Source organism: Homo sapiens, chromosome 15 (genome assembly GCF_000001405.40).
Source record: "Homo sapiens chromosome 15, GRCh38.p14 Primary Assembly".
Lineage (NCBI taxonomy): Eukaryota > Metazoa > Chordata > Mammalia > Primates > Hominidae > Homo > Homo sapiens.
In genome coordinates, this window is record NC_000015.10 from 98,853,933 (window position 1) to 98,866,756 (window position 12,824).

Genomic DNA, 12,824 nt, shown 5'->3' on the forward strand with positions numbered 1-12,824 from the left:
AAGTTAGGCACAACATCTGACTTGGATTTCTCTCTGTTTTTTTCTCTTCCAGTTGTCTGTCTGTGCGCCCTCTCCCACAAGGAATAGTTTTCCACACTGATGGAATTAATGCATATCGTGGTATTATTGGTGGAATATGTTTAACCTTTGTTTCGTGATTTGAGAGGAATGGTTCTTGTGTATCGTGTGGTGACAGCAGGTTAAGGAGAGTGTCAGAGCTGGTGCAGAGTTTTGCCCCGGGGCCATGAGGTTCTGGGCATCATGACTCTCTTATGAAGTTACAAAACTGGGCAAGTGATTGAAGGCAGAAAGACACTGTAATAAAGTGTGCTCCAGTGATGTGTGCTCCGGCTTCTCTCCCTTACTCATCTGGGCCAGGTGCTTTCGCCACAGTGAGCCTGGGTGTCCCCTGCCTGAGATGAGCACAGTGATGTCTATGCGAGGTTGTAGGACTCAGTGAAGTGCCTTAGGGATTTTGCCTGGCACTCTCCTGGGCTCATGAGGTGCCTAGGGCTGAGACTTCCCCTTCTCTGTCTGGTAAATCATCTCTCCCATTCTTTCTTCTGCGGCCCTTCATATGAGCTTTGTAATTTACTCAGGGTGGCAGGGTGAATTCATCTTTTGCTGGGTTTCTGCATCACCTGCTCCTTTCTGGCCAGGTCAGCCTGTTCATTTTTTCCATGCCAACAGCCTCTAAGTGCCAGTAAGTCACGTCTGAACAACCAAAGCATGTTTCCCTGCGGGAGAATGCCAGGGCAGGCGGGTCTGGGAGCCAAGAGGATTTCTCCTGTTCAGATAAGTCGGGGGAATAGAAGAGCCCTGTGACTTGAGACAAGCTTTGAGTGACACCCAGTGAATCTCCCATCACTACTTTAATCCCTGCCCCAGTGTTCTGGTTCCCCCTTTCCTGCATGAGGCAGTACGAGTACCCTGGCCTGGCTTTGGGTTCTACACGGTCTGACTTTAGCCTGCCTTGGTCTTTGTTCCCCTCTCACTCCCTCCACCCCTGCCCCCCCCAACACATGTGGAGTACCTTACCCTGCCTTCCTAGTTCTGGAATGGCTGCCCCTGTGCCAGGCCACCCCATTTTCTAGAACCACCTTCATACAGCCCCTGCGCATCCCACTGTACTATTTCCTTGTTTGTTTTTCCTGTCAATCTTGCCTTCCGCGCTAATGGGACACTGATGCTGTATGGTGATGTGTTCTCCCACAGTCATCTTTTCCTCCTGTGGTTGGGGTGGGGAGCTTTCTCTGTGTCCCCCCATGAGAGTGAGGACAGTCTCATTTAATGGCACCATGGTCTGTGGAGCCAGGCAGGCCTGTGTGTCTGACTCCACTTCAGCGCTCTCAGCCAGCGTGGGCACCTCGGACCCAGACAGACGCCCCGAGCCTGTCTTTCTGGAGAAGGAAGTAGTAATACCTTTTCCTTGAGGGAGTTATGAGGATTAACTGTGCCTGGCCCTGAATTCGTGCCTTGCAGGTACTTAGGAAGTGAGTTATTACAAGCAGTGCTTTTTATCATCCATAGATGGAGATGTTATCTATGCTATAGGACTGCAGAAAGAATTACAGAGAATTATGTAGAATCACTAGGGACTTGATTAATATTTGTTTACCTTTCCCCCACATGGATTGATGTCCTTTATTATACTTTTGTACCCCCGCTTGGCAAGCCCTTGACAAATATTGATCCAACAAAAAATTAGCTCTTTAATGTATACGTTTAGAACCTGTTGCTTTGTCAGTAGTGGTTTTTATGAAAATGAATGCTTATAGGTCAGACTTCTGGAAACCCTAATCTGAGGGAATTGGGCCAAATAGGAAAGTGAGCCCCTTAAAGGCAGTTGTCTGACCAGTACTTGGAGCACAACAGGTTCTTGCTAAAGCACTGTGTTTTTAAAACAGTGGAGTTATTAGGTTGAAATTCTGAATAGCAAGAAAAAGAATAATGGAAGTGCTGCCAGCCCCGTGATGCTGGTGCAGCTGGTCAGTTTGCAGAAGGAGGCCAGTTACTAGAGCAGAGTGGCCGTAGAGGCTGCAACACGGTGGCCAAAGCATGAAGCTGCTGTATAGTGGCAAGGTCACAGTGATTTCCCCACAGCCTCGGTTTAGAGGGAGACGGGGTGTGCTGAGCTGTGCCTGCTTCTGTAGAAGGGGCCTTCTCCAAGTCTGAGTAGCCTTAAGCCATTAGGACTGCTGAGTCTTTCTCCACAAAAATATGTGGGAGGCCTGCAGGGCAGGTGCTCAACTAAGCTCTGGGGCTGCAAAGATCCAGAGCCATGCCCCTCCTTGGAGGCAGGTCCTTGTAGACGAGGACAATCGTAGCCTTCCTGATTAAAGCAGGAATTGTCCAATCAGGCTATATGACGGGCATCGTCCATAGTCTTCACCAGGGGAGCTTTTCTGACTATACATCTCTAGCCCTGTGGCTTGAGCCAGTCACTTAATTTCCCCTGAGCTTTGGTTTCCTCCTCCTGGTAGCAGAGAGACTATCAGAGTGAGGGGCAGATGCAATAGCATATGTAAAACACTTAGCGTTGGGCCTGGTGTTTAACTGCAATAAATGTTAGCTCATATTTTACTGTGACATAGATGCTGTATGCCTTTTGCTGAGTATTAAAGATACTGAGCTGTAGCATGCATACTTGCATGAATCAGTCTGCTAAGTTATTTTAAGTTTGCATTTGAAAATAAAGGGTGGATTGCTATCCAAATATAAAGAATTGGAACCAGGCTCTAAAAGGATGTTTGCTGTTCTTTAGCAAAATACCATTCTTCTTAAGTTTCATTCAATCATTCCACAAAAATTTAAGCATCTGTTTTGTCCCAGGCAGGCACTGTGCTTGTAATGGATGTGCAATAGCAAACAGAACACTTGCTTTCAGCTCACACAGAGCTGACTCCTGGGCAGAGAATTTCGACAGTAAAGAAATACAAGTGTGATGAAGGAGAAACCCTTTGGTACTACCTGCTACATGTTTTAATATTTAAATGTTGACTTAGGGAGGTCTTTCCATCTAAAAATAATGATTTGCCCTTTCTCCTGTAAATGACCCCTTTCTCTTAAGTTTTGGGTGAGAGATTTTTTTTTTTTAAGGAAGAAAGATATTCTACAATCGAATGTACAACTGAGATAATGCTTAGGAGAGAATGTATACTGGGTTTGTGCCTTGGAAGTTGCTTAGGGGAAACAGTTGTGTGCAGTTGGAAAGCTGATGCTTTAAAGAAGCTTCTATAAAGTGACCCCACAATTAAACTGTTTTGTGTACATCTTTATTTATTTATTTATTTATTTTTTAATTGAGACAGAGTCTCACCCTTTCGCCCAAGCTGGAGTGCAGTGGTGCGATCTCGGCTCATTGCAACCTCCACCTCCCAGGTTCGAGCAATTCTTCTGCCTCAGCTTCCTGAGTATCTGAGATTACAGGCATGTGCCACCACACCCGGCTAATTTTTGTATTTTCAGTAGAGACGGGGTTTTGCCATGTTGGCCGGGCTGGTCTTGAACTCCTGACCTCAAGTGATCCACCCACCTCGGCTTTCCAAAGTGCTGGGATTACAGGCGTGAGCCACCACGCCCAGCCTACGTCTTTAAAAATAAATGTAAATACCCAAGGCTCACAGTTCCGTTCTTCCATCTAGTCTAGCACCGTCCAGTGGAAGTTTCCACCATGATGGACTGTTCTGTGGATGCCCTGTCCAGTACAGGAGCCGCTAGCCACATGTGGCTATGGAGCACTTGAAATGTGGCTAGTGCTACGGAGGAACTGGATTTTGGATTTTTTTAAAGTTTTAATTTAAATTTGAATAGCTACATGTGGCTAATGGCTACTGGACATCACAGATCTAACACAGGATTAACTGACAAAATTCTTTCCTCTTAAAAATATGTGTTTATTTTGATAAGGATAACTGAGACCTGTACATTCCATTTTTCCTGTCATATTTAGGGCTCATAAAGGGGGTGGTATGCACGTTTTAAAAAATGCAACACAACCAGTTAAACCAGCTGTCTAATTGTACACATTTCCTGGAGCTGTTGGTGTTGATTATTAGCAAATACTAAGTACTTGTAATGACCTAAGAACTATAAGACAAGCAAGTCGTCTTCTGTAACTGAGTATCAGCGGATTCAAGCGTTAAGGAAAATGATTAAGAGAAAACAACCAAAAAAGTCTTAATGGTTCTGTCAATCAAGTGGCTATCAATTCATGGCTATTCAAAAGCTTTTGTGGCTATGAAAATAAACTAGATTGAAAAAATTCTAAAACAAAATTGAAACACTCATTTGAGTTTAAAATTTTAGTTGAGTTGATTTTTATTTCTTGTTTTGGTTCATTTGTAGTTTCCCCCCGCTTCGTTGTTTCCTCAGATATGGAGAATAAAGCCTGGCTGGTCAGTTTCAGTTTTTATTTAAATTCATTTTGTCTTCATTCCTTTTAATCTAGCACAGTCCTGTGATGTATTGGGATCACAGTGCTCTGGGGAAACATTGAAATATAAAAACATTTTCCTGAAAACATTTCCAGTTATATTTAATTTTCCTCCTTGAATAGAAAAATATTTCCAACTTAATCCTCCCTCTCCCCTCTTGAAATGAATTGCATGCTTTGGAAATAACATCAATCCACCCAAGTACACAAGGACAATCTCAGCCATTTAATCGAGATATAAAGGCTTAGAGAACTCTGGGCTTCGGAGGCACAGACTCCACCTTTCAGGATGCTAATAAACGTGGACGAGGTCTCGCCTGGGCTTCCTCCTCCATTGTTCAGCGCAGCAAACCAGCACAGCACTCCGTGGCCAGGGTTTGCGGGGAGAAATCTCTCACTCTGTTTTAGTAGCATCATCATCCTTATCAGCACCCTGCTTTTATTTTTGAACAGCCAAACTTCCTCTTTCCAAACTTCGTGTGACATCTGGGACCAGCTATGTTTGAAGGAGTCTGAACATGCCACATAGTGGCTCACGCTTTTAAGGGAGGAAGGCCAGTAAGCCTCCTCAATGGCAGAATTCTACTTTCAGTCTACCCTTTGGTTCTGTTGTGGTTGTTCCTTAGAACTTTATTCTGCTCATTAGGAAGCCCAGCCTCCGGGGAGGGTTTAGCTTCTCATCTAAGCAAGAAGTAAAATGTCATAATGGAGGAAAAAAAAAAAAAAGTCCAAACTTTTTTTGGACTTTTAGAAACACATCCAGTTTGAGCTCCACTGAGCTATCATTGCAGTTACAAAGCCCATGTATATTGAGATCGGTGTAAAAATTCAGCATGTCCACCTGCATAATTATGACCAGTGTATTGAAAGCACATTTCATTTAGTTTTGCAACAGCCGATGAGGTAGATTCTACCAACATTGTTTTACGGAAGAACAAATGGAAGCCTGGAAAAATAAATTGTCTACCTCACACACTTCGCAGGTGGTAAACACAGGATTTGAACTAAGACATACTTGATTTTAAAGTGTTTGCTTTTCCTTTGCACTACTGCATCTGCGATGTTTGCACTCAGACACTCTAGAATATTTGGTGTTGCATGTTTTTGCCCCAAGAAAGAACCCATTAAAATGAAACTTTCCAGTTCGTAAGCTTTGCCCTCAAGAAGGGAAAGAACTTCTTGCAAGGTTTCTGAAACAAAAAGAAAATGAAAAGTAACTTTACTGTATCTGGGTTTTCTGATTAAATTACGGTTTTTGCAAGCTTGTGCATTTCTCAGTGTCCAGATAGCCAGGATTTTTCCTTTTAATAAATATCACTTTAAAAAACAAACACACACATTCTTAAATGCATGATTAACTGTATAGATTGATTTAGTTATAAGATGTCCTAGCCTAAATATAAGAAGGTGTATGTGTTAGAATTAATTTCTTCAATAAAGAGAAAGAAATTCAGGAATTGTGGTTCTGTTGGTCTTCTGTACTGTATATTTTTGTGCAGCCAAAGCAGCATGCCTTGCTTCTTGGTTTCATGACCACATGGGTAGTTTCTTGAAGTTTTTTCTTTTGAGATGGAGTCTTGCTCTGTCACCCAGGCTGGAGTGCAGTGACGCGATCTCGGCTCACTGCAACCTTCACCTCCCGGGTTCAAGCAATTCTCCTGCCTCAGCCTCCCGAGTAGCTGGAATTACAGGCATGTGCCACCATACCTGGCTAATTTTTGTATTTTTAGTAGAGACGGGGTTTCGCCATGTTGGCCAGGCTGGAGTTTCTTGAAGTATTGACTGATCCTTGACTCTGAACTGTATGATCAAAGACTTTTGAAATGGCACACCGTTTCTTAACATTTAGGCCAATTTCAGTTGCTCATATCCAAAAATAAGTCATGATTTTCGGAGTCAGTGCGCAGCACTTAGTACAACAATCCAAACCCTTGTACAGACCATCCTAGTAGAAATGTGGATCTTGAGTATCTCAGCTTCTTAGTAGATTTTGAACTCCGTGAAAGCAGGAGCCAGGCCTCTCACAGCAAGTCTCTCCAATATGCTCAGTAAATATTTGTCAGATCGAGCAATGACCAGATGATGAAATACATTAAAGCCTTAGGGAGAACTGAGACTACTGCACCAGTTTTTGTGCACTATCATGCTGGAAATCTTTCCAACATGTATTCTGTACTTCTTTGCTTCTTACTCCAGTGAATATAATTTAGTCATTTCTGGCCAACTTGAGGACATCAGCGAGCATAAATTGTTGTATTATGCATAATACAGTGATACCCTCAAGGCTGAGTGGGAGGCAGTTTGCCCTCTGCTGAAGGTTTCTTGTGCTTATTGTGTTCTTATGGTTTGGTTTTACCATTTTTATGTCTCCATTTCTGTTTAATAGACTTATTTCAGTAAGAAGAGAAAGCCGTCTCCATCAGCCCCTCTGTAGGTGATTATTTGCCACTTCCTTTTTGCTGTGAGTGCTTTGAAAACAGATTTCTAAGCTTGTTAGAGTTATGTGTTAAGAGTAAATAGGCAGTAAGTGAAACCAAGCTTCTTCCTGGTGCTTGACTACCCCAGAAATGTTTATTTGCTGAATAGTTGAGTTCTGGAAAGGTGAGGTATAAATGTGTGATAAATTTATTCCTTTGCATGATTTTTTTTTCTTTTTCTTCCCTCCCTCCCTCCCTCCATCTATGTCTCTGTCTTTCTCTGAACATCTCTCCGTCTCAGTCTGTCTCTCTCATGATAGTTGCTGGAATAATTTAAATGAATGTAACTCATTTACCCACATCGAAGCCCAACTCAGTAGTGAAAAAACAAATCTTCCAAATGAATGCACTTTCCCCTTGATGTGCTATATACAAGACCTTGGCACACCTAGTTCAATGACATAGTATTTTAGAAGGGCCTCCTTACACCTTCCTCTCAGATAAATATACATGCAGGGACATTCTGAAGAAGTTTGTTATCGGTCTTCTCCCCTCCTACTATTAGCTCCGCCCTCCTAGTCCTTCTCTTTCACCATGCTGACCCGCGTAGGGAGGACCCTTACACCCTCTGCATGCAGCGCTGGTGCTCCTTAGTGTTCATAACCCCAACCTCCATGGCCTCTCTCGCAGTTCTCAGGTTAGGCCCTGCTTCTAGGGGACATTAGCTTTCCACCCTCTACTACATACTTCCTAGTTGTTGCAGCCTTTGCAAGCAAAACTTGTTTTCATTTGGGAGACAGCATGGTCTGACAGAGCCTAGATCCTGGGGTGAAGACATTCTGGGTTTGTATCCCGTCTTTACCACCTCTGAGCCTCTGATGCTGGACAAGTCAGCAAGTCTTTGCACCTTAGTCTCCTTTCTGTAAAAAGGAGCTTATGGGGATGTAATCAGAGAAGCCTTAGCATGGCTCTTGGTACAAGGCACGGACCAAATCCATGGTACGCTCACTCCTTTCCTTTCAGTAATACTGCCTAAATAGGGCACATGTACCTAAAAGGATTTTGTACATTCCTTGACAGCAGAATTCTCATCTTCTGTTGCATATCCCATAATGCTGGGAACACAAAATAAAAATGGTAGCTTTTCACATTCACTTTTGGCCTCAATTTTTTGTTATTCCCCAATGAGGATCATTTCATTTGGGGCTGGTCTCCGGAAAAAAGTAGATCAAGCTTTTCAGATGAGATTTGGGTGAAACCCTGACAAACTCTTTTTATTGCCTTCCCTACCACATAGTGGTGGATCAGGAAACTGTAGGGCTTATGATGCTGGGAAATTTCTGCTAATGCAATAAAGATTTTTGCTGTTGAAAGAATTTGATCTGTTTTATGTATAACATGCAGAGAGCAGAAGCATATATTATCTGTAGCAGATGATAGAGCAGGGTATATGGGCAAGTTAGAAAAACACAGTTCTCACTACATTTGAAGAAAAAGGACAAGGAGTTGTCACAAGGATCCAGGAGAGTCGCACATAATTTTCTGTCGTGCATTTTGTTGACTGTTCCTCTTTGCATCCTTCAACCATCTTAACTTCCCACTTGCACCTCGCTGGAAGACAAATCTAAGCTAAATTAAATGCTAGGCAATATGTCAGAATGGAAAGGGCCCTCAACTTGGGATGCCCGGTTCTCTACCAGCCTGAATAAACTCCAGCAACAGTATTTCTCTAGGAATCATCTGTAAAAAGTAGAGGTTTGTCATATCTCTAAACTAGGGATTCACCTTATTTATTAAGCTATCAGTGACTTTATCTTGAGGTGCACGGCTTTTAGTAACTCTGGTTCAAGTGCAAGGAATGCAAAGTTAAGTGTATCATTGGAGGTGGGATTTTTGAGTTTGTCAGTCATTTATTGATTTGCATGTATCCTTATAGTTCAAAGGTCTTTTTCTCAACTTAGTTGATGATCATGCTGTAAGTTGTTTTCTTTTGCTTTATCAACTTTTAAAAACGTTTATTAACTTTTTAATTTGAAATAATTTCAGACTTGCATAAAGGTTACAAAGAGTACCAGGAGTTCTGGAACACCCTCCACCCAGCTTCCACAGATGTTAACATCTTACATAACCGTAATACGGTTATCAAAACAGTGTTCACTCCATACTCCAGTGCTGTTAATCTCCAGACTGAATTCGGATTTCACTATTTTCCCACTGATGTCCCTTTTTTTGGTTCCAGATCCAAGAGACGATCCTACCTGGCATTTATTGTGTTCAGTTTTTCTAATTCTGGGACGTTTTCCTGGGTTTTCTTTAGTCATTCACGAAGTTCGCACTTTTGGAGAACATGGGGCCAGTTATTTTGTAGAATATCTTTCTGTTAGAGTTTGTGGATGTTTCCTCCTGATTAAATTTGGGGGGTACATTTTTAACTTGGAGATCACAGAGGTGCTGCTGTTTGTGTCTTTGCGCATCCTGTCAGGAGATGCGTGATGTTTCCTTTCCTGGTGCTGTTAGCTTTGATCCCTTAGTTAAGGTGGTCTCTGTGGCTTCCTCCATTATCATTACTATTTTTCTCTTTGTAATTAGGAAGAATCTTTTGGAGGTAGATACTTGAGACTATCTAAACAAGCATTCTGTTCCTCATTATTCTTTCACCCACTAATTTTAACATCCATTACTGTGATGTTTGCCAAATGGTGATTTTCTATTTCTGTTTTCTACACTTAGTAATTGGATTCTACTCTCAGGATTTTATGTATTTTTTAACAGTGAGGGACATAAACTTTTTAACTAGCAGTGGCAAGTCCACTTTTATTTGGGAGGACAATTACTAGTCACATGAAGAAGAAAAAATATGCAGAAGCTTAAGAAATCCCACATATGAATGTTATTTGAAATGTTCTTGCCCTTTCTCCCTACAAAGGAGGTGAAGAAGATGACAGGAGATGTTAATTGCCAAAATAGTCTCATAGTTTTGGTCCTGGCTGCAAATCTCTCGTTTTTGATACTCAAGAGAATGCTATTGGGGAACTGACTCTGAAGCACAGCCCAGATGCTTGAGATGGGTTGGGAAGGTTTACATCAACACCATGAATTTAATTTATCATGTGACATTTTATTTCTGAGTTTTTAAAGCTGTAATTAAAAGAAGTGTTCAAAGTGTTGCTTTCCTCTTTTAGAATAAACGTGGCTGGGTGTGGTGCCTCATGCCTGTTATCCCAGCACTTTGGGAGGCCATAGGCAAGAGGATTGCTTGAGCCAGGAGTTTGGGACCAGCTTGGGCAACATAGGGAAACCACATCACTACAAAAAAAAAAATTAGCCTGTCATGGTAGCATGCACCTGTGGTCCCACTTACTTGGGAGGCTGAGGTGGGAGGATCACCTGAGTTCAGGAGGTCAAAGCTGCAGTGAGGTGTGATCATGCCCCTGCTCTCCAGCCTGGACAACAGAGCAAGACACTGTCTCAAATAAATAGGCAAACATTACCAACATGGCAAACAAGTTGGAGGAGGCCCCCTATTTAATTAAATTTCAGCAGTCCCAAATCTAATTGGTATGAAGAAATCATTATTCAGAATTTTCCATCACTGAAATACTAAAATCACTTGTTGTTTGAGACATCTTGGCCTGTCACCCAGGCTGGAGTGCAGTGTTGCTCTCATAGCTCACTGGAGCAGGAGCCTCAACCTCCCAGGTTTAAGTTAATGCTCCCACCTCAGCCTCCTGAGTAACTGCCACTACAGGCGTGTGCCACCATGCCCAGCTAATTTTTTAATTTTTCGTAGAGATGGGGTCTGTGTTGCCCAGGTCCCTCTTGAACTCCTGGCCTCAAGCTATCTTCTCCAGTCGGCCTCCCAAAGGGCTGTGATTACAGGCGGGAGCCACAGCGCTCAGCCTAAAAATAACTCTTTAGCCAAAAGAAAGTTTTAAAAAATTGTCTGTTGTATTCTTTGATTTTACTCTATGTGGTCTTTTCTATTATTTTTAAAATAAAAAAGATTTATACTCCTCAAGTGTAACATTTTATCAAATCTCATGCTTCTGTTTGATGAAACCGAATGGCTAAATTTTTTAAATATCATGCAATCCATCCCAGTTTGTAATTTTATTATGGCCCTCACACAAGAGCGTGCAAGCTATACTAAGCTTCCTGTGGCCCTCGTTTTTCCTCACTGATATTTGTAACTCATTCCAAATTAAATTTTAGGAGTCTGAAATGTAGCTGTTATATTTGGGAGATGTGAAGAAAAGAATCGTAGGCATCTCAGTAGGCTAGGTATCAGATCACACATGCTTGCTGGACCAAAGAGGACTCCTTACAGTAGGATACATGATTCTGAGTTAGTTTGTGTACTAAGTATATACTATATAGCTTTTGAAGGGGAGACGGGCACAGAATTCACAATATCATGCACTAAGGGTTATTTTGTGTTTGCAGTTTCCAGATGAATGTTTTAAAGTTGGCTGCAGAATACAGCGAGATAGGTAAAATCTATTTGAGTATTACTTACAGACCCCAAAGGATATCCCAAAGGATATGTTGGACTAATTCCTAAAATATCCTGTAAGTCATTGCAGGTACAGGCGTGGATCTGGGTTTGGAAACGCCGCCTGGATCGCTGGCTGGGCTCCTGCAGCCGCCAAGGAGGGGCTGGCTGGAGGTGGGGCTCGGCGTGCATAGCGGCCACGTGACTGCGCCCCGGCCACGCCCACCGTCCCTCACGTGGTCCCAGGCCACGCTGGGCTTCGGCATGTGCTAAAGTGGATAGAAAAGGGAGTGGGGCCCGGGCGTGGCTTTGTGGTTTGGGAAGATATGAACTCCTTGGGGTTTTTTTCTCTTTTAATTCTTTAATTTTGATATTTGGAAATGCGTAAAAGGTTTTTCATTTGTCCTTGACCACGTGGTCCAAACCTCAATTTCCCTAGCAGAACGCGGTTTCGATCACTGGTGGATCCGTCTCACAGCACCAGTCATGCTGCCTCGCTGGGAAGTGGAGGGCTCAGGATTCCCGTGGTTCACGATCCATTTTATGTTGGAAGGAAATCATTTTGAACTATCTCAGTACACACCCTAGTGTATCTTTAAACCTAATTGAGTGTTGATGGAAAATCTGCGGTCCGAGAACCGTAAGAAAAGGGGGCTCCCACCTCCCGCTCTGGGGTCGCCACTTGCCTCGCAGGCAGGAGGAGGCTCCCAGAGTAGATACAACTTGCCCGTCACCCGGATGGGTTGGTAGTGCACATATGCACGGGGCGCAGTTTAAAATGAAAGTAAAAGATGCAAATGTGTTTGCAAAAGAAAAATTAACATAGGATACGTGCGGGCGTTCTCAGTTGAACTCGGTCTTACTGTTCCACGCGAGCACCCCATGACTCAGAGCCCAAATCTCAGCGGAACAGCCCAGGACGCTCCTGCCGTCCACAGGAAGACGCCTCTGTCTCTGTCCCCCGCCGCCACCACACAGATGCACGTACTCTCTTCACTTCCGTGTACCCAGTAAATGCAGATCCTGATTTAAATCTGCAGCACGCTGCTTTCTTCCCATTGCATGTGGGAAGCTTCAGGTTCTCTTCGGTTTATTTTCTCATCACCTTTATTAAAATGCAGTAAAGCAAGGAGTATATTAATGCGGGCCTCTGCAAATAGAGGGAATTTATTGAAAAGCAGAATGGCTTGAAAGATTGAACTTCATCTTAAAAATCAGAAACAGACTCTTGTTATTAATAGCTTTAGAAACGAAAATCTAACTTCTGATAAATTATTTCAGAGGAGTGGTTCAAACGTGTAGTAGATAGCTCTGCCTGGTCATCAATTATAGTGACGTCCTTGCATCAGCTCCAGAAACTCAGAATATTCATGAGCTTTCCAGTCTGACTCAGACCTTCAGGAGCCATGAAATTTTCCTGTTGGGATGAGAGGAAGCGCTGGCGGTCGTTTCGGCAGCTTAATGAAACCAGAAATAGATA

The 12,824-nt window shown here is 42.9% G+C and overlaps 1 protein-coding gene across 8 annotated transcripts in view; it reads left to right on the forward strand.

Annotated features, from left to right (window-relative positions):
- The window catches only part of IGF1R (insulin like growth factor 1 receptor), a 315,992-nt gene that overhangs the window by 205,394 nt on the left and 97,774 nt on the right, over positions 1 to 12,824 (forward strand). Inside the window, exon 1 of one of the 8 annotated variants that reach the window (XM_011521516.3) lies at positions 1 to 12,824. This exon is cut by the window's right edge and continues 23,712 nt beyond it. The exons of the other annotated variants lie outside the window; for them this stretch is intronic. The gene's annotated coding sequence lies outside the window, so the exon portion shown is untranslated. 8 annotated transcript variants of the gene reach the window in all.